We start from the raw sequence: 25,070 nt of genomic DNA, 5'->3' as shown, positions 1-25,070 counted from the left end.
CTCAAGCCCCCCTCCCCGTCAAAGCCTTCCTTGGACCTCCCCAACCCAGTCCTGGGCTAGGAGGCTTCCCCCACTTGTAATCACTGATGTCTTGCTTACCTCCCCCAGAGGACTGTGGACACCTTGAGGGTAGGGACTGAAGTTTGTTTATCACTGTATCCTCAGCACCCAGGACAGTGCCTGGAGAAGTTGGTCCTCAGGAAGTGTTGTTGACTGATTAAGCAAACACCTCATTTCCTAAGAAGGAGTCATAGGTAACAAGGCCACTGTGGCATTAAGTACAGTCCCAGCAGTGGGCACTGCCCACTTTGCTTTTGAGTGTTCAGAACCAAGATGGTTCTTGCTGGAAGGGCTCCGGAGAAGCAGTAACGGCCTTGTGGGTTGGGCTGCAGCAGAGAAATGGACCAAACCTCCCCCAGCCTTCATGGCCCAAGCCCCATCCTCCCTCCCCAACTGACTGCTGCTCCAGGCAGGATGGATGGAGCATGTGCGGTGCCTCCCCCGCAGTGAGTGTCCCAGGGGAACCCGGCGTCAAGGATTTCCTGGCAAGGAGATGGAAAGATAAAATAATTGCAAGGTACAGCTCAGAGCAAGCATGACAGCAGAGAGAAGAAAGCAGAATGGGGGCAATGGGGAGACCCAGGCACAGGAAATGCTCCGAAGGGAGAGAGGCAGGTTGGAACTGACAAGACAGAGGGGCAGGGTGTGGAATAGCAAAGCTTCCCCTCCAAGCACTGCCTGATTCCTTTTAGCCCCTTGCGGCTCCTTGGAGGCTTGGAGCACCCCCAAACCAGGCTGCAGCTCCCACGCCCCAGCCTCCCCCTTGTCCTCTCCCCTGAAGTGGGGTCTGCTTCCTCCAGACCCCAGCCTAATGGTGGCCCCACTGGCCCCACTCATGGCCCTCAGTGAGGCTGCCCCTCTGCCGCCAACCTGCACTTGATCTGATTTGGCATGCAGGGGAGAGTGCTGGCTGCTGTGCCCAATTCTGGAGTTTTCAAAGCAAGAAGAATTAATTAGCTCTGTGGGCCACAGTTCGCAGATCCCACACCTGGAACCAAGGCTAAGACACACAGTTTCAAAATTCTTAGCAGAATTCCCTTTTGGGGCTTAGCTGGAGCAGCTGCCTCCTTGACCTGCCTTGCTGTGCCCTGGAGTGGGACTCCAGGCCACAACTCAACTTGCTTTGAGAGTTCGTTTCCCTCCTGGCAACCATTGTCCTGGATTAGCCCTGAGTCTCCTAGCTTTAGCCAAGGGATATTGAACACCGTGGGCTCAGCACTCAGATGGCGGGGATTCCTGTTTGGGCTTCTCCATACACAAAGTCCTTCACTGGGCCCTGCAGGCCTGCTTCCTCCTTCTGAGGTTATACAGGGCACCTGTCCCTAGAAGGTGTCCATCGGTGTTGGTGCCCTCTCCCTGGCTTGGTCCCTTTGCAGGAGGGGCACCAGGTGGCACCAGGTGAGGGTGCCCTGTGCCGCCACCTGGTGTCTGATGCCCTCATTGCACTGCTGTTGCCAGCCCCACTCCACGGGCTGCTCAGCTGGCCCAAGGGAAGAGAAAATAGGCCATGGGGCACCAGGCTGTGGCAGGTGGGGACTAGGGTGGAGATAGGAGTGAAAGCTGTTTGGAAAGTGGGTGAGGTTTAGGTAGGGCAGGGTTAGAGGAGAGGAAGAGAGAAGAAGGCGGGATGGGGAAAAGAACAGGTACCATGGGGTTCAAGGGCAGCGTTATGCTGCGGAAGGGTGGAGCCTGGGAACCCACAGTGATTGCAGAGCTACCCTTGGCCAGCTCTTGGACAAGCGCCTGGAGCTGAGGGATGCCTTCTCCTGTGATTGAACTCCTCTCACCACCATTCCCTATGGCCAAAAGCTGGTGGCCCACCAGGTGGGAGGCTGGGGGCCTCTCTAAGCCTCTGAGTTTGCCATGCGGGGAACACGTGTGCATATTTGTATGAACGTGAATGTGACTACTTTGGAAAAGCGCCCACCAGCAAGTCATTTTTTGAGCAGGATTCTTCCCATCGTGCCCCATTTCCTCCACACTGAGAAGAGACAGGAGTAGTGTGGGCTGGAGGTTGGCCAGACGTAGGGTCAAATCTCAGCTCTGCCATCTCCTGGCTGTGTGACCACGGGCAATTCACTTAACCTCTCTGAACCCCGCTGCCTCATGGAGAAATAGCAATCAGACTTCCCTTGCTAGGGTGTGTTGAGGAGTGAGAGACTGCATATGAGCCTCAGATTTGTTTTTATCCCCAGCTCAGCTCACTCCTCTTCCCAGTCCCCACCCCCACACAGACCTTTTCCTGGAGTCTTGGGGGTGGAGGAAGCAGAAACAGCCAAGCTTGAGGTGGGGGCCTACAGCCGCTGTCACAATTTCTTCTGAACCCCGAAGGGGAAGGCTGAGGACAAAGGCACCAGGGTAGATATTCCTAATTCTAAAAGCCCCCACATCCCTGAAGCCCCTAGCCAGTTCCATTCTGCCCCTGGAGTCCTCATCCAAGACCTGCTGCCCCCACCATCCACTCCCCATCCCAGCCTCCTTCATTTTCTCCACCCCCTACCCCCACCCCTTATGTATCCCAGAGCAGCATCAAATAACCACCCAGACAAGCAGCATGAGGTTAGCAGTTTGATATTATTATTAAGATCCAGCGGCAGCTGCTTTTCCACCTCAAAACCCTTTTAATGAGACACAACAGTTTCCATCATTGATAAAGATTTTACATCATTGGGGGGAGAGGTCACAGTTTTCTCCCCGACTACCCCAAAATACCCGCTTTGACTCTGTTGTTAATATTTCCACATCACTATCCAGAGGCTCCCCTCCAGGCACTGCCCTCTTCCAGAGAAACCCTCCAGGCCACAGAGAGGGCTGCTGGGGAGGGAATAGGGGAACCTTTTTGTTTTCACTGGGCTGGTCCCTGCAGATCTCTACAGAGCAACCCAAAAGCATAGTAAGTTCACCCCAAATTCCTTGGTCCCTACTGGGAAGAGGAGGCCAGGGGAAGAGGAACGCACAAAGAACCAGGCATGCTAAGACTCAACCTAAGCAACTCTCCAGTACTCTAGTGCTGCTGGGCTGGTGGTCGGGAGCGGGGAGAGGGGGTGCTGGAAGAGTGGGGAGGGGTAGGAGTCCAGCTCTCTGGCTTCACCTTGACCCAGAATCTTCTAACCACTAGGAGAATGAAAGATCCCAGAACCCCCTCCCCATACCCTCCAACGTCATTAGGGAATAGACAGCTATAGAATTCTACAAAAATATAAAAGCTTAGTCTGCAGATCCAGGTGACAGAACTCTAGGAATTTTGTACAGCTTTGCTTTTTTTATCTTAAATGGCAGCTCCTACAAGCACTCCCTCTCCCCACCCAAGGAGGCCAGAGGAAAAAGTTTGACATTATTGCACACCCTAAAAGGATAAAACCAGGCTTTGGCTTCAAGGAGCGGTATGAGTTCTGTCCAAAAGAGCAATGAGAAAAGCTCTCACCCAGCTTAGAAAACAATGCTGGACAACGCCTCCAGGTCCACTCGCCCGGCAGCCTGGTGCCCCCAGCTCCCAGTTGACCGGATCAGACGGTTTGTGAGCGAGCGTTGCCACTGAGGTTTCAAAAACCCAATCCAATCCTGGGGTTTGAAGGCCCTGGGGGCGAGGGGAGGGGGCTGTTCAAGGGAGTGGGATTGGGACAGATGTTTGGGAGGTGGCTAGGTGACAGGCTGGCTGGACCCATGGTCACCACCTCTTGGCACCAAGATTTCAGACAAGAGAATATTGTCTGCAGTAGCACCAGACAGGTGGCCTGGGCCACGCCACTCCCCCTCTTCCTGTCTGCCTGCCCCTGGCCACCTTCACACCTCCCTCCTCCACTGGCTCCCGCTAGGCAGGCAGCAGCAGCAGTGCATGTAAACATCTTGAGCGCTCGCTCATCACCGCCCAGGGGGCCAGCTCCCCACTCAGCACCTGGCCTCTGACCCTACCACCTCCACCAGGAGGTTGCCTCTGGACGCCCAGCCCTGGACTCTCATCCTCAGGAAGCACAGCCCACTCCGTTGACACGGTTTAATTCCATTGCGGGCAGGTGGACGAGGTCCCCATCGGACAGTGCCTGTAATGCCAGTCAGCTAAGCCCGCCCCCAAGGCAGGAGGCTGAAGTCCAGACAGCTCAGGTCACGCATCCAGCCAGAAGTGTGGCAAATCCGTGCTGAAGCTTCAGGAAGGAAAACCCAGAAACACTTCCCCCCTCCCCCACCAACCCACAGATCCAGATCTGCAGCCTCTGAGGCAACCTCCCCCAGCCTCAGTCGGCCCCATTAACCAAAACAGCTTCATTATGCCAATTTCCAGCTTTCAATGTGCGGCTGATAGCTGTCAGCAGAAATAAGAGTTAATCTGGAATTACTCCCATTCACTGAGCTGCCTAGCTAGAGGAAGCTGTAAAGCTTTGATAGCAGCAGAAGAGACCCTGCCTCCCCAGCCTGCACCAGGCGGAGGGGCTCCTCCTCTCCTTCACGGCTGGGGAGGGCAGGCTAGAGGTGCAGCCTTCCACAGCAAGGGGTTCAGGTTCTCTCACTCTCAGACACACACACTCTCACACTCATATACACACACGCACTCATATACACAAACACATACACACTCATACACACACAAAGAGGCAGCCCTGAAGCTTCCCTCCCCGCCGCCCACTCCCCATCTCCAGGATCTCTCTCTCATCAATGCCATCTGGACGTGCCTAACTCTCCATCCCTTTTGCTTTTACTCTGGACCGTGATTAGCTTTTTATTTAGGAAAATTACTTTATTTTATATATATATAGATAGATAGATAGATATGTATGTATGTATATATAAAAAGGTTCCATTTCACTTGTAAAATCTCATTTTTTCTTTTTCTTTTTTTTTTCCCTACAGAAAATGATGACGAGGTTAAAGGAAAAAATAAGTTACATTACAGTTTCCAAAATGGTTCTCGCTCTCCGCTGAAGATGGGCCACCGTTGGGGCTGCAATGTGCTCGCGGTCCCAGCTTGTGCTTTGCAAGAAGAGGGAATATAACTAGACTGTTATTTTAGGTTAAAATAGCCAAGAGACAGACGCCTTCGCCTCAAAAATATTCTGAGACACATAAAAGTAGAAGGAAACAAGTCTCTTCAGTCACAAAATGTCGTACATCCCGCATATACTAGATTCAATTAATTTAATAAAATAGAATATACATAGAGATTCTGCACAAACGTATTGCTTTCTCCCAACAGCTTCTGGTGTCGGGAACCTCAGCTGCACCGGGCCTCTCCTTCTGCCTGGAGCCAGAGTTGCCGGGGCTGCTGCTTTTAACTCTCTTTGGAAGTTCTGCTTGCAGGTACCCAGAGCCACTGAGGCAGGGAGGAGCGCCTCCGCCTCCTTGGTGTCTATATGGAACTTTTGTCAGGAATATAGCCCAGGAGGAGGAGCTAGGACTTGGCACCCAGTGGAGAAAGGTGAGTGGGAAAGTGGGGCAGGACTCAGGGGTCCAGGTCTGCTGGGTCAGAGGATAAACCGGAGAGACTCAGCACATCTTTCTTTGGGGAGGGCGAGGCAGCCATGCTGTCAGGGGGGCCAGAGGCCAAGGGATCCTTGGAGTCGCTGGACGGAGCCCTCCTCCGGAGGCAGATACCAGGGCTGGGCGGGGTCCGAGGACCTTGGCTCTCGGGGGGGTCTATGGTGATACTAGGCGGGCTGAGTTTTTTCTTGGGCCGGCTCCCAGGCCCCCCAAGAGGCTGGCCCCCAAGGTTAGAGGGGTCTGTGCCCAGGTGGGGTTGGGAGCCGCTGTCCAGGCAGCTGACGGCGATAGAGTGTCTCCTCTGCTCATCCAGCCAGGACGTAGGCCGGCGCTGGCAGCTCTGGGCCTCCACGCTGTAGCACTTCTTCAGGTCCCGTGGGGATGGGGGCTCCTCCTGGCCGCCAGGGGGCAGGAGGTCTCCTGAAATCCAGCTCAGCTCCGTGTCCAACTCTAAGCTGCTTCTGGTCTCTGGAGGGCCCTTGCCCCAGTTGGGTTCTGGGCCTGGGCAAGGGGCTGGCGGGGTCATGTGCTTGGAGATCTTGCTGTGGCTGCGGGAGTGCTGCTGTGCCTGGGTACTTGACTGGCCCCAGAAAGAGTAGGCCCGGGCCAGGGGCGGGGAGGGCCCACTCACCTCTGCCAGCAGGTCTTCCCGGCTGCCCAGACCCTGAACGTCCAAGGAGTCAGTCCTTATTGCTGCCTATATGGGGTGGGGGAGGGCTCAGCCCAGCAGTCTCCTCTCCAGCATGGACTAGCCCTCCTGTCAAGCTGGCTGTGCCCCCTGCCCACCACCACCAGGCACAGCAGGACTATCCTAAGCAGAGGTCCTGGTAGCCGCTCTTACTAGTAGATAGGGGTCATTGCAGCCTGACCTCTGTTGTCCACCATGCCTCCTCTCTCCCCACTAAACCCTGTCTTCCCTCCCCCATGCTCTGGTCTCCCCTAAGCCTGCAAGAATCGCTCTCTCTGCAGCCCCTGCCTCCTGGGATATGAGAGAAGCCAGGCCATCTCTGCTCACTGAGCTGGCTCCTTCACGCCTCCCCGCCTCTGCCTAGACTTCCCCTTTGGCTCTGAATACCCTTCCTGATTGGCAAGAATCCCTCGATTTTACGGACTCAGGTTCTCTGTGACACAGTGTGTGACAGTCTCTGTCCCCAAGTAAAACCGACCCCTTCCCCTTCTGTGTCCCTGCTGCCCTCCACACATAGGTGTCTGGCAGCTGTGAGCTGAGGCTGCAATGATCTGATGGCAGGCATGTCTCCACTATTAGACTGTGAGCTTCAGGGGGCAGGGGCTGTGTCGCCAGTGCCTGGCACACAGAGGCTGCTTAGTGACTATTTGCAGAATGAATAAGGACTGTGCCTGCTCCCCCAAGCATGTGGGATTGAGATTCTCATGTGTCCACGCTCATGCCTCAGGACACACACATGGCATGGGCTGTGGCCTTATCACAGGTGGGCTCTGGGGCCGGGCGCGGTGGCTCACGCCTGTAATCCCGGCACTTTGGGTGGCCGAGGCGGCCAGATCATCTGAGGTTGGGAGCTCGAGCTCAGCCTGACCAACATGGAGAAACCCCATCTCTACTAAAAATACAAAATTATCCAGGCATGGTGGCGCATGTCTGTAATCCCAGCTACTCGGGAGGCTGATGCAGGAGAATCACTTGAACCCAGGAGGCGGAGGTTGCGGGGAGCCAAGATTGTGCCATTGCACTCCAGCCTGGGCAACAAGAGCGAAACTCAAAAAAAAAAAAAAAAAAAAGAATCTGGGCTCTGGAAGGTGGGCCCTAGGCTTGGCCAAAAGTGAAGACACTTAAAACCTGCCTTGTGCCCCATAGCTCAGTCCAAAGTGGGGAGAAGAATTGGGAGGCAGCTCTGGTTGGTGAGGAAGGAAAGACCAGAGACTGGGGTTCTACCTCCGACCAGATAGGCATGACCCTGGGCAAGCACTACCCCTTCTGGTCTCCAGGCCTCCTCAGTGGAACAAGGAACTGGGTGCAAATTTCAAGAAGGCACAGACCACTTCTGCTTTGCCCAGTACTGTGTCCCTGGTATCTGCAACTGAGCCTGGCACATCACTGGCACACAATAAATATTTGCTGGAAGAATGAAAGTGTCAACACAGGTCATCACCAGCAGCAGAGGGTCCAGCCCCCAGGCCTGTGCCTGCCTTTCCACATCTGCTCACCTGGCGCCTGAGTGGCCTCTGAGCCAAAGGGGAGCGTCCTGGTGGGGGCAGTTTGGGGATGGTGCCCCAGGTTGGGGCGCTGTGGGGCTGGAGCAGATGAGGTGCATCTTTGGGAAGCTGCAGGATGTAGCTGGTATCTGCTGGCTGGGAGTGAACGGACAAGACGGAGCCTGTGGAGGGAGGGAAGCGGGGGAGGGGTGGGGGGAGAGAATGGAGCTGGAGGGTTCAGGGGAGCAGGTTCTCACCTGAGCCCTCCCTTCCACTCTCTCCCCCTCATCAGGGCCTCTACCCTTACCCCCTGGACTCAAAGCCATTCCCCCAGGCTGGAGGCTCCCCTGAGGTCAGAGATACCTCTTTGGCTGCCTCAGTTCCCCATCCCCTCAGATCAGGACTGGCTTAGGCCAGGATGGAATCTCCCTGTGTGAGCCAAATTGGCCTGCTCTAGCCCTGGTACCTGACTGAGCTTTGGGGAGCCCCCAGCCCCTGTGTCCCAGGGGCCCCTCGGCAGTGCTCCCATGCCGACACATGTAGCTGTCATTGGGCAGAGAGTGCGTTCGGCTGACCCCAGACTTCCGCACAGTCAGTAAGTCTGGTCCTGGCAGCTCCGTGGGGTGGGGCTGCATCTGCAAAAGGAACAGGGGAGGGAGGTGGAGGAAGAGGGTGTGCGTGGGTTTGGTAACTGAGGCAGCGCTGACAACAGAAAGCAGCAGCGCCCCCCGCCCAGCCCTCACCCCCGTGCCCTCCCAGGACAAGGTAGAGATGGGCATGAGCATGGCTGGGGAGAGGGGCAGACACATGGATGAGCCCTCCACACGCGGGGAGGAAGCAGGTAGGAGGGGGTCTGGGCAGCCGGGAGAGTCTGCAGGCCCTGCCCCCCACCCCCTGCAAAACTGCACACATTGTATCACCTTTAAGCTCCCACTGTGGTGGTGGAGGGGCGGGGAGGTATCCAGAGAAGGGAGAGCAGCCCCCAGCCCCCAGCCCTGCAGGTGGCTCACAAGCTGATTCTAAAGGCCCCATTTAGAGGCTCTGAAGGGAGTCCCGGTGTCCACAGGGATGGGCTGGGGCCCTGACCCAGAGCAGCTCAGGGGAGGATTAAAAGCTAACAGCAGGCCAGGCACAGTGGCTGGTGGCTCATGCCTGTAATCCCAGCACTTTGGGAGGCCAAGGTGGGCAGATCGCTTGAGCTCAGGAGTTTGAGACCAGCCTGGGCAACATGGCAAAACCCCATTTCTAAAAAAAAAAAAAAAAAAAAAAAAAAAAAAATTAGCTGGATATGGTGGCGTGGCACCTGTAATCCCAGCTACTCCAGAGGCTGAGGTGGGAGGATTGCTTGAGCCGGGGGGGTCAAAGCTATAGTGAGCTGGGATCATATCACTGCACTCCAGCCTAGGCAACAGAGTGAGACCCTGTCTCAAAAAAAAAAAAAAAAAAAAAAGCCAACAGCAGCCCCTACGACCCTGTGCTGTCAGTGGGGGAGGTGAGGGGGAGAGGACCCTCCCAAGGAGCAGGGACCAGGCAGCTCAGGAGAGCTTGCAGGTTGCAGGCTGTTCATCCAGTTCTTACAGCAGCCCCAGGTCCCAGCACAGGGCCTGGGTTGGGTTCAGGTGAGTTGAATGGCAGATGACCACCAGAGGCATGTCACAGCTGGCTCCCTGACCTCCACTTTAACCAATAACTCTGGCAGGTGAGGGTGGAGGCCAAATTCAGCTGCTCCCTTAGTGGACAGACTCGGGGTGGGAGTGGGGTTGTTGCTCTGTTTCAGAGAAGGGAGGTACTCAGCCTTGGACTCCAGCATGAGGGAGCCTAGTTTGTTCTCAAGAGGTTTCTCCATCACTCTGTGACCCCCTTCCCCCTGAACCCTTCACCCCTTGTTCCCAGGGAGGCTGTAGGGGCCCTGTCGCCATGCAGGCCCAGCCAGTTAAATAGCCCCAGCAGGCCTGAGGATGGCTAAGTTGGAGGACAATCTTATTTTGCTTCCCCTCTCAGCCCCAGGCTCCACTACTGCCAGCCACCCAAGACCCCTAGGGACACCCCAGCCGGTGGTCCAGTCCCTGCCTCAGCTGGGCCCTCCTCTGACAACAGGAGGGGAACAGTGGAGAGGAGGGGGCTGCTCACAGTCAGAAGGGACGGGAGCTGGAGAAGGGAAAGGGTAGGGAAGCTATCAGAGCACAGAGAAGCCCCATTCACCCCACTGAGTTTGGTGAAGACGCAGGGACACACGGGGACAGTGACGGAGGAGACAGGAACAGCGCTCCAAGTGAAGAAGGGCATGGCAGCGGTGGCAGAGATGCGGCTCTCACCCACCACGTGGTGTGAAGGTCTCATGTTGTTGGGGGGTGGGGTGGGGTGGGGAGGAGGGGAACAGGCACAGGGAGGGCTGGCTTGCACAGGGCTCCAAATTCATAGATTGACTCTGATGACACCTGTTTTGGGCCGTGTCACTCCTGGGTGTCTGGATTCACTTTTTCATAATGGCTGCCGCTGCTCCTATACCCTTCAGGGCAAGGCCCCAATTTAAACTTATCTAATCTCTTTGTCCCCAGTGGGGAACCTGAAGACCTTGTGCCAGCAAAGCGTGGGCCACCGAGGTCCTGACAGTTGATGCCTCTGGGTGGAGCCTGGCAGCAAACTGAGAGGAGGCGGCCCCAGGACCCTCCCTGGGCCGATCTGGAGCCCTGCAGCCAGTCCAGCCCCGGGGGTGGCCGGGAGCAGTGAGGGCAGTGTGTATGTACATTGCTCTCCAGGGCACTAAGTAAGAGTGTGTGCATGTCATCAGGCAAAGAGTCATCCGTCAGAGCTAGAGAGCAGGACGGTTCAGACACAATCTCTGACGTCAGAGACAGAGCCTCCATCTCAGCTAGAGGGATCTAGACAGGGAGAGAGATGATCAGGCATGAGAAACCAGGACAGCGCACACGCGCGTGCACACGCACACACGCGCTCTCTCTCAGTCCCCACTTCCCCCTTTTCACGAAGCACAGGGGGGCGGGAAAAAGGCATCCCTTCTCTCTCCCCACCCTTTCCCCAAACAAGCTGACAGTGCCTCCCCGCACCCACTTCAACCCCCTGCTCTGATCAGAGAGGCTGCGGCAGGCACTGAAGAGCCAGAGCAAACACTGACAAAGCGAGGAGACACAGAAACGCATTCTAAAGATACCCCAGGAGCCTCCCCAGCCCCTCCCACACTACCACCACCCAGGGAGGGAGCGGGAGGACCGAGGGCTTGCGACTCTCAAAAAGATGATACCAAAAAAAAAAAAAATGAAGAAAGGCCAGCAAAGCACTGTCTCTCCTCCCGGCACAGACAGAGCGGCACGGGGGGCGCCGGCGACAATGCCACCAATCTGACGGCTGTTTTCTGCCTATTCTCTCGGCTTCCAACAGCCTGGCAGGACTTGGCCTGCCCCCAGATTCTGGCTTCTCCCCTCGTGGGCCCTCCTCCGCCTGCCTGCAGCCCGCCCGCCCTCTCCAACTTGGGCTCTGGGAGATGTTCTCCCGTTAGCCTGAAGTGGGCGCACTCGGGTGGGCTGCCACACCATCTGGCTGGCTCACCTGGGACCCAGGGGGTTGCCTCAGTGCCCACAGGATGCTAGGGGACAGTTGGACCGTCCCTCCCAGAACCCCATCACCTTCCCATCGTGTCCTCTTCTCCCACAACCTTTCCCTGTGAGCCTCTTTCAGGAAGGGGAGGCCTCGGAAAGGGACTCACTTTCCCACTGATCATTCTAGGTCATTGCCAGATCTGAGACTGAATCCCAACAAGAGGCAAGGTCCCTTCCCACATGAGGATCACTGTCCATTTTTCTGGGATCAGGCTAAAGGCTTCCTAAGAACCTGCCTGCCCCACCACCCAAAAGGGCCTCTGGAGGACTCGGCTTTTCTATCTGCAGCTGACACCTGTCTCCACTCCGGGTCTGCAGCCTCTCACCTAGGTGGAGGGAGGGTGGGGCCCTCTCTCACGTGGTAGTGGGTCGTGGTGAGGGGATCAAGGGGAGGGGAGGAGGGCAGGAACAGCCCAGAAAGCAGAAGACCTGGAATTAAATGGGACTGGGGGAGAGGGCCATGTGGCGCTGTGGGAAGGGGCTGGGCTTGGGCAGGAAGCCAAGTCCTATTTCACACCAAGTTCTCAAAATCCACTCCCAGCTGGAGCCTTCTATCTCTCTCAGGACAGAAATCAGTGGCTCCTGACAGCACTCACCATGCCCAGTGGGCTCCATGGCTTAAAAAGCCACCAAACTGAGGACTGGCAAGTGTGTGCTGGACACGAGCAGATAGAGAGACTGCAGCTTGGCAGCGGGCTCCCTGGCCACCTACACTGTCTCTGGAGGCCTTCCTCCCTGGATCTGATACCTCCTTCCCTCCACCCCCTAAGGTCCCCCTGCTAACTTATCTTCTGCCCCATCCCCTCTTTTCTCTTCCAGATTCTTACAAATCCCCTCTCCCCTCCCCAAGCTCCTCCTCCACACACCCTTCTCATCAGAGGGGCAATCTCAGCAGCCCTGCCTTCCAGCTCTTTTCTGGAGGTGATCTCAGTCTAGAAGAACCCCTGACTGCCTCTTGCACTCAACTGAGGCTCCAAGGCTGCACTTTCTACAGATACCCAGTGGGCAGGAACACTCCCAGCTTCCCCAGAAGCATGGCACAGCGTGGCACAGCCCAGCACGGTCAGGGGAGAGGGCACAGCACAGGGGCACAGTAACCTGTGGGTCGGAGCCTCCCAGGCTGGGGGCAGAAGGGAAGGCAGAGGGCTGGCCCCCTGGGCCTGCCAGCTCGTCCATCAGCTTCAGCTCCCACTCCAGGGAGCCCTGGATCAGCAGGGATATGGTGTCAAACAGCTGCCTGTCCTGGGGAGCCAGCCCGTAAGGGGAGCCGGAGAGGCAGGGGAGCAGGGGTCAGAGGGCAGTGATGGGAAGTGTCGTGGAAGGGGATTGACAAGAGAAACAGAGGAGAAAGAGGTGACACCCAGACAACACACATGCACATGTGCACACACACAAAAACACACACAGCAACAAAGAGAAAAAGAGGAGGGGGTGGGGAAGAGGGAAGGCGAAGGAGGAAGGAGAGATGGGAGATGGAAAATGAGCAGAGCCCACGGCGGGGGGAGAGAGAGAGAGCGGTAAAGAGAAGATAAAAGGATGGAGAGATGGAAGAGAATCAGGCAGGTTAAAGGGTGGGTAGGAAAGAGATTTGGCAGTTGGGCAAGGGTAAGAAAGAAACAGGAAGGAAACAGAAAACTTAGCCTTGAACCTATGAGTCAGGAAGGGGAGGCCAGACCAGGCTGGAGGAGCAGGGCATGGCTAAGCTGGCCCGTCTGCTGGGGTGGCCCTGTGGGGTGAGTGTGGGCAGCCATCCCTGGGGAGGGGCAGTGACTGCTCGCTCAGCATCCAGGACGGAGGGCGGGAGCCTCCAGGAGGAGCCTAGGGTTTGTGTGCTGCCCGCTTGGCTCCCGCCCACCACCCTCCACACCCTTCTCCTGCCCCAGCTCCTCTCACGGCTGGGGTGGGTGTCTGCTCACCGTGGGGTGCTCCAGGGAAAAGTGGGAGGCTGATCTCGCGTGGGCCGCTGGGTGCAGAGCCCCAGGCTTGGGGCTGTCGGGGCTGTCGGGGCCCTCGACCCCAGGCCAGAGGAAGGGGCTGCCCAGTGGCGAGTGGGGCTGGGGGCTGAGGGTCTTCATCTCCAGCTCCAGCTCAGCCTCTAGCTCGGCCTCCTCCTTGGCCTCCTTGTTGCTCTCCTCCAGGTGCTTCATCAGCACGGCGATCACCACGTTGACTAGCACGAACTGGGCCGTCAGCACGAAGGACACAAAGTAGATAGGCGAGATGACCGTGTTGTAGCAGGTGGACTCCTGGTCACAGTCCCGGAGGGTGTCCTGGGGAGGGTGGAATAGAGGGGTGAGGCTGGGGAGGACAGTTGTTGGAGCTGTTGTGGAAAATCAGGTCACTGGTGTCACAGAGCATTGGAGGATGGGAAGGAAGGGGAGGAGGAGGGAGTGTTTGGGGGCAGAGGAGCACTACAAGTGTGAGTCAGAGCATGTTCCTGGGAGAGGGAGTTCCAGAGTGTTCTAGCACGGGGGAGAGAAGGTCACATGCTTTTATTTGTGGCCAATTCATCTTCCCAAGGAATCCTAGCTCAGGAAGTGGGGCTGCCTCCCTGGAGCCTAGGCCAACCCTGGGCCCTTACCTTCATAATGCCATTCCAATTGTCACCTGTGGAGACTCGGAAGAGGGTTAGGAAGGCCATGCCAAAGTTCCGAAAGGTGGCATGACGGCCCAGGCCCTCACAGGGGTGTGTCTCGTCACACTCTGGGGGAGGAGGGAAAGGGGGAGAGGCCCATGTTAGTCCAGGAGCCCCCTGGTCTCCAGCCCTGGCTCCTCCACCCTCCCCTACCCCAACTCACCCAGGTCTCCAAAGAGCTCCACGCCCAGAGCTGCAAAGATGAAAAACAACAACATGAAGAGAAGTCCCAGGTTCCCCACCTGGAAAAAAGGAGAAGAAATAGAAACGATGCCGCTGGGTCTCCCAGTCAGCTTCTCTGAGCCCCTTCCCTCTGGAAAGCACCTCCCCCTCCCCAGAGGCCCCCCACCTCCCGGCTACCTGGGGCAGGGCCTGCATCACCGTGTCCAGCAGCGCCCGCATGCCCACAGCCATCTTCAGCAGCTTCAGCACTGCAGAACAGGACAACGTCATGAGCTGGCCTCTTTGGGTCCCCGGCCAGACAGCTGGCAGAGTCAGGACCAGGGCTGGGCTGGGGCTGCTGGGATGGCCATCTCCGGGCCAGCCAGGTTGCATCCCCATCCTCAGCCCTGTCTCCAGCCTCCCTTGGCAGAAGCTGGGAGAAAGACCCATGGGAACCCACAGCCGCCCAGGCCTTGACCAGCCACAAAGCCGACCCTTGCTCTCTCTCCCTGGGCTGGTCACCCTAGGAGGGCAGGTGCGTGGGCTGGGCACCAACCTCGGGCAATGCGCAGCACCCTCATGATGCGGATGATGGTGGGGTTGATGGGCAGCGAGGCGTTGACCTCGATTTCCTCCAGCGTGATGCCCATGATGGACAGCAGCACAATGGCCAGGTCCAGCTGGTTCCACCTGGAAAGCCCAGAATACAGCTCCCTGAGTTGGGGGAGGGGGTTCCTGAAGGAGGGGGCAGTCGTGGCACAGAAAGACAGGGCTTGAAAGGAGGGCAGACATCAGCGGGTCCAGCCTCCCATCCCACAGAGAAGAGGCGTGGCTTATCTAAGGCCACACAGCCAACTGGTGGCACGAGTAGGACTAGGACTTTAGCTCAAAAGCCTCTGCTTTTCATTTGTATTCATTTGCTTTTATTTTTAATTTAGCACTTATATGGTGTTCACTATGCACCAGGCACTTTTAAGAGCTTTACAAATAGGAACTCACACCTGCAGTCCCAACACTTTGGGAGTCTGAGGTGGGAGGATCACTTGAGCTCAGGAGTTCGAGAACAGCCTGGGCAACATAGTGAGACCCTGTATCTACTAAAAATAAAAATAAAAAATAATTAGCTGCGTGTGGCAGTGGGTGCCCGTAGTCCCAGCTACCTGGGAGACTGAGGTGAAAGGACAGCTTGAACTCAGGAGGTCAAGGCTGCTGTGAGCCATGACTGAGCTGCTGCACTCCAGCCTGGGCATCAGAAAACAAAACAAAACAAAACAAAACGAAAAACACCCTCAAAACCAAATAGGAATTCATAATCTCACAACTCTGTGATGTGGATACTATTATTTTCTCTCATTTTACAAATGAGGAAACTGAGGCACAGAGAGGTTAAGTAACTTACCCAAGGCCACCAGCTACTAAGTGGTGAGACCAGGATTCAAATCCAGTTCAGGCAGTCTGGCTCCAGGCTCTGTGCTCTTAAGCCCCAGGCTAGGTCACACTGATTTCTAGCTGCCAGCATCCCCCAGGCCCTGTCTTGTCAAATTCTCTCCATGCCTTCCCATCTCCTGGTCCTGGAGACCATGCCTTCCCATCCCCTAGTCCCCTACGTCAGCCACAGGGTGGGGGCTGAACCTCAGGAATTAAGAAAAGTCTTAGACACTAGGTCTTCCTGGGTATTTCCCCAAGAGACTCATTCCTTTCTATCTCTACGCAAGTCCCCAAGACCCCCCTTTTCTCCGTTACCTGTCCTGGAAGAACCGACGGAAACCAAAGGCCACAAGTTTGAAAACTGACTCCAAGACAAAGATGACAGTGAAGATGTAGTTGCAGATCTTCAGAGCCTCATCCAGAATCTGGCAGGGATGGGGGCAAGATGCAGGGTCCCTTAAGGCCCAGGGCTGGGGCTTGTCCCCCCGCCCCTCCATCATACCGCCCAGGTCTGAGAGGCAGGGGAACTCCAAGGAGCCCTGTCTTCTCTGTTCCCATCATGATGGCTGGCCATTAGCCACCAAACCCCAGAAGGGAGTAGGGCACTTATTCACATGAATGAATCAACCTTATGCTAAAGGATCTTTCTCCTTGGGAGATGGTGAGGAGATCACATGAGAATGTACTAGATGACACGGCATGCCAGGACTGGAAGGGGCCTTGTGCATTACAAATTCAACCCCCTCATTGGATGGACAGGGAAACCGACGGCTGGAAGGCAGCCAAGGGAGGCTGACTGGAGAAGTGGCAAGGTCACAGGTGAGCTCTGGAGCTGGACGTTCGCTAGAATCTCAACTCCAGAAGGGCAGGCATCCATCTGCCTTTTTACCCTCAAAGATCCAGAGCGCAGCTCATAGTAGACGCTCAACATTTGCTGGATGAAGAAACCAGGTCCTCCACTCCCTTTCTGTGTGACCTTGGCCACATCAACTAACATCTCTGAGCCTCAGTGTCCTCATCTATAAAACAAAGATGATACCCACCTCCAAGGGGCACAAGAGGAACCCATGTAGTGTGCCTAGCACTTGCTTGGCACAGAGGTACCCTGGCTCAGGCTGTGTTAACCTTGCCCAGAGGTTCCTCAGCTGGAGGTGGGGGGGCCAGATGGCTGGTCCACTCGCTCCTACCTGGGGCTGCTGGTAGTGCTCCATGGCCATGGTGACCACGTTCAGCCCGATGACACCTGTGATGAAGAGGTCCAGGTAGTGGCTGGTGCACAAGTGGTGGACGAGGAGCCGGAAGCGGGAGTAGTCGGAGTAGTAAGGTTTGCACTGGGCTTCTGATGGGGCAGGGGGAAGAGCAGAGCAAGCGTCAGGCCCCTGCCCCCCGCACCCCTCCACCCCCAGTCCCTCACAGCCACCAGCCTCTAACGCCAGAACTGAAACATTCCATAATCATCACCATCCTCGCCCTCCCCACGCTGCCCCTTGGTGGGGGCAGCCGTCTGGGCGTGTCCCCCTCCAAGCATCTGTTGTACTGGCTGCAGTTGAGGGCAGGATGGATCAGGACATGCAGAGCCCCCCACCTACATTAGACGCCAGGTGAGCCCCCTCCCCTAGGCAGCCTCCAAAATCCACCAGCCCCTCATAACACCCTCGACTCAGTGTTCCGCAGCAAGGCCAGATCGATACGATGAAAAACAACTGGTCTCCTCAGGCTCAGAGGACGCGCCATCAACGGGGAGGCAAAGGCTTTTGCTCCTTCACCAAGCTCAGCCCCTCGGGGGAGCAGAGGAGATTACACAGAGCTGGGATTTGGAGATAAAACCGGAGATTGGAAATTGGACATCTTCTTGGCTGGCTGCACTGACCCACCCAGAGGGCCTCCAGAAGGCGGGGCCTGGGCCTCCTGTACCCTCATGTCAGTGAGAGCAAGAGGGGAGGCCTTGGGGCTCTGCTCCATCCCAGACTCAAGCTGGGAGGGCCCCACCTGTTGGACTCACCCAGTTTCTAATGAGGCACTGCCCAGCCTGCTCCTGGGTGTTTGGGCAGCCTTAGACTGCAGGCTGGGCTGGAAGCACTGTCTGAGATCTGTCAGAGGCATAATATTTCTCTCGTAATTAGTGAACCACTTAGTTATGAAAATCACAGAGCCAGAAGGTTGGGCTGCCAAGGAGGCAGAATAAATCTGGGGGCAGGAGATTTCAGGGGGGCCCTCTTCCAGGTGCTGAGGAAGGGCCAGGCCAACTTGGGGCACATGTTCTTGGGAGGAAGTTGACAGATTGGTCTCCCACGAAGCCACAGAGAAGGAAGAGGCTTTTCACGGGGAGGTGTGTGGCAGCCTCAGGTCCCAGACAGCCCTTCCCCGTCTCAGGAGGTCTAGGGGGAAGCCAGCCAGTGAGGGCTGCCGCCTCTGAGGCCTGAGCCAGGGGGTAGCTGGCTTAGGGGCAGCAGGAAGCTTTGGGCCCAGGCCAGCTCAGATGTAACTGTCCTTTCCCATGCACAGGACCATTGAACAGAGAGGTAAACTGAGGCAAGGAGCGGCCTGGGGTGGGCCCCCACCCGAGGCTGAAGGAAGAAGAGCACCCAGGTATTGCACATCCAGCCTCGTGGGCTGCCATGCTCCTGGCCCACCTGGCCACTCTCCAGCATCGGCCTTGAGGTGTGGATGACCACGGAGCAGACAGTCCCCGGCACTCTGCTGCGCCTTAGGCATGCATGAGGCCATCTTCCTGTTTTCAGAGATCGGCCAGCCAACTGTGGCTCTGTTTGTTCGAGAACAGAGCCCCAAGAGTGTGGGGCTGGAGAGCCTGGGGCAAGGGAGGACAGGAGGCTACGGGTCATCCACACCGCGATGGTGGAGGGTGGGCCGGGTGGGCCGGGCCTCTTCCTTCCTTCCTTGAGTACCACAAGAACCAGAGGGCGCTAGTCGCCCTGCATTGCCTGAGCAGCCGGAACATTTTCTCTGCATTAATCTCCATAAATGCCGAGAGCACCCGATCCCATTATGCTAAAATATGAATGGAGAATTAACTAAAATGTTTGAATACAATTAGGTTAGAAAAAGCGGCTCCTTATTAGCCCCATTATTAGCTGAGACAATGTAGAGGAGAGGCTGGGAGAGTTGCCCTCCTCTCCCCGTCACCCCAGCCTGACTCTGTAGGCAGTTCCAGGCCAAACGGAGCAGCTGCTCCCACCAACTCTGGCCTTGCACTAGGAGTCTGTGGGGTGGGTGGGCTTCAATTCAGCCGGGACCCTCCTCCAAGAGGCCCAGAAGGAAGGCGGGGCAGGAGGACTGAGGCAGGGCATCTGCTTATAGACAGGTCCCGGCCCCTGAGGTCTGTACAAACACCCCTCCACCCTGGCCCCTACCCCAGACGGCAGGTGCTGAGGCTGCCAGAAATCCCCCATTAGAGCACAGGTCCAAAGAGTACCAGGCCAATCTGATCAGCATCTCCTCGGGCAACCCCTTTGTTTTTCAGAGGGAGAGAATGAAGCCAGGCAAAAAGTGACTCATTCAGCTAGCTACGAGGCATGACCGAGCTGGACCCGAACTTCCAGCCCGAGTCCCTCGCCAGTTGCCAGGTGGGTACAGACACAAGGCTTTGAGGCCTTGGCCCAGAGGACACCCCTGGATGGTCTGCCCAAAGGCCTCCAAAGTTGGGGCCTGGCGATGCCACCCTCCTTTGCTGCTCTCTGGACCTCGGCTCTGCAGGCAAGCACCCAGGTGTGGAGAAGAAATAGAAAGCCCCTGGGAGGAGCCTTGGGCAAGCCTGCTGCTTTGAGAGCTCCAACCATAGTCCAGGAGGAGCCTGGACCTGTGGTCACTGATGCATTGGTAGCTGTGGCACCACCTCCCTGCCTCCCACCAGGATGAGCTGCCTTAGGTGGAGAAAATACCAGAGTCAGACAGTGGGGGGAAGGGCATATCTAGGGCAGCCCAGGTCCCCACTTCGGGGCAGGGAGGGAGGAAGGGTACAGAAGGAGGGCCGCAAGGCAACAGGCAGTGAGTTAGTAGGAGTCACAGGGAGCCCAAGGCATGGCCAGGGCGGAGGGTTTGCAAAGGGGAGTGGCAATGAGTAGGCAGAAGACAGGGGTCACTCCCAAGGACACAGGCCCCCCACGGCAGAGGCCACACCTTCAGCTGCCGTGGCCAGGCCTGATCACTGGGTCCCGGCCTGGTGGAAGGAAAGAGGGTGAGTGAGTGAAGGTCGACGCCACAGGTGGCCAAGGAGAGTGGAGCTGGTGTTGGAGGCTTAGCCGTCCCGTGGGGCAGCCTGATGACCCAGCAGCCCCGGTCCCTCCCTCCATCTGGGAAGCCGGGGTGGACCCAGGCTTCTGGTCAGGCCCATTCCCCAGATAATCACAGGCTCCGCTCTTCTGCCTTTCCCTAGGGTCTGGCTCTCCCGCCCCTGCTGGGAGCAGCACCAGGACAGGAGTGCTAGCAGGGAGGTGCGGTGCACGTGTTTGATTCTCAGCAGCCCTGGACTGCGTTTGACTCTGTCCCCATCACCCTGGTGGGTAGATCAGTGCATCTGCACTGCTGTAGGAGAACCTCTGGGGTAAGCCCCAGGAATCTGTGTTTATGCTTTCCAGGTGATTCTTATGCACATGGAAGTTTGAAAAGCTCTGGCATAGGCCACGCAGAACTCCAGGTCCTAGGAAGTGGGATATGGGATGACCTGAGCCCTTGTTCGGGGTCTCTGAGTCCTCACCAACAGCCAGGGAAGGTAACTGGTGTACATGCCTGCGTGTGCCACCCCAGGATACAGTGGGGTCTATCCACTTCAGGAGCACAGCAGAAGGTACCCGGAATGGGAGTGCAGTGCAAGGGTCACGAGAGTGTTTAGCACTGAGTGGGTGAGTCACGTCTTAGGAGCCATGAGAGTCTGCATGTGTTGATTTCTGGGATAACACCCAAGGTGGAAAAGTCTCTGTGGGCTAGCCCTGTGCTAGGATGTTTTGGGGTGAGTGTGAAAGTGTGCACACTTCAGTCTACAGACCAGGTGGGCCCGTAAGGGAAAAGCTGAAGGCCACTTCTTCCCTCCCTCCCCTCATCCCCTAACAAGTCAGGAATTTGCAAGACAGCCTGATGCAGAGATGTGGGGACCCTGGCAATCCAGACACAAACCAGCCAGAGACTCCTGAGCCCCAGAGAGGCAGTCTCTCAATGCCAAACACCACTGCTTAGCATCATGGGGCCATAGCGCTGAGGGCCTCAGGGATGACCTACTCAATGGGGGCTCAGGGGTTCTCTCTTGGGTGGGTCCCTGAGGCCCCACAGATCATGACACCCAACATCCCCAGGGCAGCATCTGCCTGATTCTAGCTTCCAGAGGAGTGGGGAAAGTGGAGCCGGTGGTTCCCAGACTGAAGTTCCAAGCCTGCAGCAGCCATGGGGGTCCTTATGTTCTCACTCTCTCTCTCTCTTTTTTTTTTTTTTTTTTTAAATGGAGTCTCGCTCTGTCACCCAGGCTGGAGTGCAGTGGCGTGATCTCGGCTCACTGCAACCTCCGCCTCCCGGGTTGAAGCGATTCTCCTGCCTCAGCCTCCCGAGTAGCTGGGATTACAGGCGTATGCCACCACGCCCGGCTAATTTTTGTATTTTTAGTAGAGACGGGGTTTCACCATGTTGGCCAGGCTGGTCTCAAACCCCTGACCTCATGATCTGCCCGCCTCAGCCTCCCAAAGTGCTGGGATTACAGGTGTGAGCCACTGTGCCCGGCCCTTATGTTCTTTCCAATACTTCAAAAAGCTTGAAAGAAACCCTATACTTTGCCTGTGTTAAGGCCCCACAGACTAATTTAATGACGAAATGGTCTTTCTTTGCCATCATTTAGTGTGTAACCTTCTGCAGCTCAGAAGCTGTGATTAGCAATTAGATGCGCCTCTGATTAGTAAAAATGATGAAAGAAAGTCATTATTGAAGTGCTCTTAACTTCATAGACAGCCTTCTAAAGTGTGAAGTCTGTTGGAGGAGATGATAACTGGGGGCCTTGGGGATGAACAGCTTGGGAACCACCAGCTGGAGACATAGTGTTATGAGGCCCCACAGCCCTGCCACGGACTCCATGAGCCTCCACACCTCCATCTGGGGGCCAGTGGGGGAGAGGAGAGCAGGGGACCGAGGGACCATGGAGGGTGGGCTGGACCAGGAGAGTCTTCCCAGAGACATGGCTCTTGAAAATAAGGACCCAAGTCACTCCCAAATCTTTGGCTTTTTTTGGAAGAAGCTCGTGGCCAACTCAGGCCTTTGATTCCCAATTCCTGCTGTTTGTAGCGATGACGCAGCCACCGTGATCACTTGACTATTAATGAGTCTGTTCAATTATTCATTGTTACATTTTTAAAACAAATCCTTCCCCTCTCTGCTCCTCTCATCCTGCTCCCTTGGATCAAAGTCTCCCCTCAGACAAAAGGAGACAGGAGAGATTTGCAGCTCTAATAATCGACCGGTGAGCTACAAGGAGGAGGCACAGGAGGGAAGAGGTGGCAGGAGGTGGGGAGCTTGGCCGGCCAAGGAAGCCCTTGCTGGGAAGGTGGGCTCTCCAAAGGGCGTCGGCAGAGAGGCCTCAGGCCCTCGCCTCCCGTCCAGTTTGGCGCAGGCCTGCGGGATGCTGCAGAGCCCAGCGCTTCAGCCCCTGCCCTCTTGGGGGCCCCAGGGACCCTCACCCTTTCACCCCAAGAGGATAGAATCAATGAGCCACGGGGAGGGAGTGAAGAGCATGTCCCCACACGCATGAGCCCACACCCCAGACGCAGTACCTGACGCAGCGCTGGCTGAGCTGCCGGAAGCAATTACATCGTCCAGCATTAGATCTAAAAGAACGAAACACGACATTGGTCACTGGCCGGACCAGGTGCGCTGGGCAGGGCCCCTCAGGGGCGGCTTCCCCTCAGCTCCCACCTCACTCTGCCTATGGGTGGGGTGCGCTGAGCCCATTGGGTGGCTGGCTCTGAATGTCCAGCCCGAAGCTGGGGGCACAGGGCACTTGAGGAAGACAAGCAATGTGGCTAGCTGGTCAGGGTCACGGGGCAGGGAGGCACCGGGAGGGGCAGGCAGCCGGTCATCAGAACAGATGTCCGCTTCTCCTGCGTTGTGGCCTCAGCTGCACCTGAGACAGCTACAGACCCCAGAAGGGGAGCCAGCTGGGCAGGCAGGGGCCACAAGTGCCGCCTGCCAAAAGAATTCCATCTGCCTGACTGTGAGGTGGGGGTGGGGAGGATGGAGCAGGAGTGGGACGGTGGCCACAGGGGACACTGCACCTGCTCAGCTGCAGATATCCACAGGGAAGCCGAACCCGGACCCCTACCCTGAGCCGAGCAGAAGGCCTTGGGGGTGCTGATAGTGAGGGTTGGGGACGTGGAGAACGGCACCTCCCATTGCTGCCCAGAGGCCAGTGTCTCCCCCACATCCTGGAGCAGCTCCCGCTCTTCACAGGGAACACAGGCCCCCTCCCACCTCCACCCTCGTCTGCAACTCCCACACTCTCCCCCCGCCTCAGAGTGCCACTCCCAGGCCGAGGGAGATAGAGCTGAGGGCAGAGGGGAGGCAGGGGCACGGCAACCCCTCACTCATTTGGTGGTACTCACATGTGAACACACCAAAGGAAAACTCAGGCCACCGCACCCATCTTATCGGCGGAAGGAAGACGATTTGTGAAAAGGTGAAGAGAGCATGGGAAACCCTCACCCCAAACAGAGAGAGACACACAGACAGACACACAAAGGCTTAGATAAACCCACACACAAAGACACTTAGAGAGACGTGGGCCGTGACTGAGAGAGAGAGAGAGGCGCGGAGATTACGCTGTACCAGGCAGATGGGAGCCCTGGAGCCCGGGAGAGAGGGAGACAGGTGCAGACGCATCTGGGGATGCCCCAGAAACAAAGGGGCCTGGGCGCCTGCTGTGTCTCTCACATCCTTCCTGGCCTCTGTCTTCTCACTTAGTCTCGGCCCACCCATGGCATAAGGGCATGAGGACGGACGGATGGGGGCTTCACCCACCCAATGCCAAGAGATGCTGGGGAGCACAGGTGAGGAGGTGAGGGGCTCCAGGGCCCCAGGTTATTCCAGAACTTCCCCAAGCCAAGGGGAGTTTTCTTTTTTTGTTTTTGTTTTTGCTTTTTCTTTTTTTAAGTTTAGCAGAAATATATATATATATATATATATATCATGGTAGAAAGTTTTGTTAGAGATAGGGAGGGAGGGGTGTCTGGGTTCTCTTTTACGCTGTTGTCCATTACTGAGATCTGCTGAGGCTTTGCTCGGCAGCTGCAGACACTAGGTGGGTGCAGGGTTGAGATGCTTGCTGCCCACCCTGGGCCTCTGGATGCTGGCATGGGGCAGTGGAGCAGCCAGTGAGGCTCCTCTGAGAGTCAAGCTCGGGGAGGCTGGGTGTCAACCTCCATTTGGCATCATCTGGGGAGGATGATGCTGAGGTCCTGGGAGGCCCCAGGGTGGGGACAGCTCCCCCTACCCATGGGGCTGAAGTGGTCTGCTTCATGCTCGCTCTAAAGGCAGACATGCTCTTGGGGAGAAGGAGGTGAGGAGGGGGGTGGGAGCCTCTTCTCCCTGCCCCCGGCCCCAGCGCCCAGCCCCCTGCAGTCGCAAGGCCAAGGTCAAGCACGACCCAGAGAGAGGTGGAAAGACTACCGACCAGCCATCTGCTTCTCCTTACTCCTTCTCTTTTTCTCCAGTCTTCGTAGGCGCTTCTCCTCCCGCCGCCGGGCCTCCTCTTCCTCCTGGTGCTGCCGACACTTGTGGAAGTTCTCCACCACCACACCCACAAACATGTTCAGGACAAAGAAGGCCACAATGAGCAGGAACGAGATGAAGTACAGCAGCATCCAGGGGTTGTGGTTCATGATGGGCTGGCGGGGAGCAGGAAGGACAGGCGGAGGCATCAGCCCGAGGGCAAGCTGTCTTAGGAGCTGCCCACAGCCTGGGTTCCTGCGAACCCAAATAGCTACAGCCGCCTGACAGGCGATGGAAATGAATGGTGTGGGTTTGATGTGAAGCAGTAGGGAGGGGCGGGGACTGTGGTAAAGGGGAGAGTAGATTCTCCATCCAAAACTGCCTCTTTGTTCTGGCTGACTCCTGCCTTGAGGGAATGCAAGCCCAGTCTTCCCAGATCTTCAGACTTTTCCTGAGTAGACACAAATCTGAATTTCTGTGTAAAACTCACCATTATTTTTTCTTTTTTTAGAGACAGGGTCTTGTTCTATTGCTTAGGCTGGAGTGCAGTGGTGCGATCACAGCTTATTGCAGCCTCAAACTCCTGGGCTCAAGAGATCCTCCCACCTCAGCTGGGACTCCAGATGATACCACCACACCCGGCTAATTGTTTTTATTTTTTGTAGAGCTGGGGGTCTTGCTATGATGCCCAGGCTGGTCTCCAACTCCTGGCCTCAAGTGATCCTCTTGCCTAGGCCTCCCAATGCACTGGCATTACAGGTGTGAGCCACTGCACACAGCCCAAATTCACCAGTTTAAAAATATTCATCACTAATTCAAAACATGTT

At 56.6% G+C, this 25,070-nt stretch overlaps 1 protein-coding gene and 1 long non-coding RNA gene across 36 annotated transcripts in view, besides 2 other annotated features; one reads left to right on the top strand and one right to left on the bottom strand.

Moving 5' to 3' along the window:
* Window positions 1–305: 305 nt before the first annotated feature.
* LOC101927253 (uncharacterized) lies at window positions 306–5,216 on the top strand. The gene is made up of 2 exons (XR_243718.2): window positions 306–506; window positions 4,906–5,216. It is a non-coding gene; the product is annotated as an uncharacterized LOC101927253 (long non-coding RNA).
* Window positions 4,772–25,070, bottom strand: part of CACNA1G (calcium voltage-gated channel subunit alpha1 G) — a 66,760-nt gene continuing 46,461 nt past the window's right edge. For 3 of the 35 annotated variants that reach the window (NM_198384.3, NM_198382.3, XM_006722161.5), the window contains 12 exons: window positions 24,227–24,419; window positions 22,311–22,364; window positions 16,734–16,885; window positions 15,862–15,971; window positions 14,675–14,808; window positions 14,317–14,387; window positions 14,120–14,198; window positions 13,903–14,024; window positions 13,238–13,591; window positions 8,171–8,339; window positions 7,717–7,886; window positions 4,772–6,229 (listed from right to left, as the gene is read on the bottom strand). In NM_198384.3, coding sequence (NP_938198.1) covers window positions 5,495–6,229; window positions 7,717–7,886; window positions 8,171–8,339; window positions 13,238–13,591; window positions 13,903–14,024; window positions 14,120–14,198; window positions 14,317–14,387; window positions 14,675–14,808; window positions 15,862–15,971; window positions 16,734–16,885; window positions 22,311–22,364; window positions 24,227–24,419 — 2,343 coding nt within the window. In that variant the 3' untranslated portion in view covers window positions 4,772–5,494. Of the gene's footprint in view, window positions 6,230–7,716; window positions 7,887–8,170; window positions 8,340–10,451; window positions 10,587–12,419; window positions 12,564–13,237; window positions 13,592–13,902; window positions 14,025–14,119; window positions 14,199–14,316; window positions 14,388–14,674; window positions 14,809–15,861; window positions 15,972–16,733; window positions 16,886–22,310; window positions 22,365–24,205; window positions 24,420–25,070 lie in introns of all 35 variants that reach the window. The other 32 variants (NM_198377.3, NM_198396.3, NR_046054.2 and 29 more) reach the window with 23 other exon arrangements.
* Window positions 5,925–6,697: an enhancer, noted in NCBI's record as "H3K4me1 hESC enhancer chr17:48702910-48703682 (GRCh37/hg19 assembly coordinates)". NCBI's record gives its function as "activates a minimal SCP1, AML or CMV promoter by ChIP-STARR-seq in primed H9 embryonic stem cells {active_cell/tissue: H9 hESC(primed)}" and the evidence as "EXISTENCE:reporter gene assay evidence [ECO:0000049][PMID:30033119]".
* Window positions 22,662–23,269: an enhancer, noted in NCBI's record as "H3K4me1 hESC enhancer chr17:48686338-48686945 (GRCh37/hg19 assembly coordinates)". NCBI's record gives its function as "activates a minimal SCP1, AML or CMV promoter by ChIP-STARR-seq in naive H9 embryonic stem cells {active_cell/tissue: H9 hESC(naive)}" and the evidence as "EXISTENCE:reporter gene assay evidence [ECO:0000049][PMID:30033119]".

The sequence above is a fragment of the Homo sapiens genome, chromosome 17 (genome assembly GCF_000001405.40).
Source record: "Homo sapiens chromosome 17, GRCh38.p14 Primary Assembly".
Taxonomy (NCBI): Eukaryota; Metazoa; Chordata; class Mammalia; order Primates; family Hominidae; genus Homo; species Homo sapiens.
Note: the sequence above shows the minus strand (reverse complement) of the source record. Positions and strands in the feature narration are given on the sequence as shown.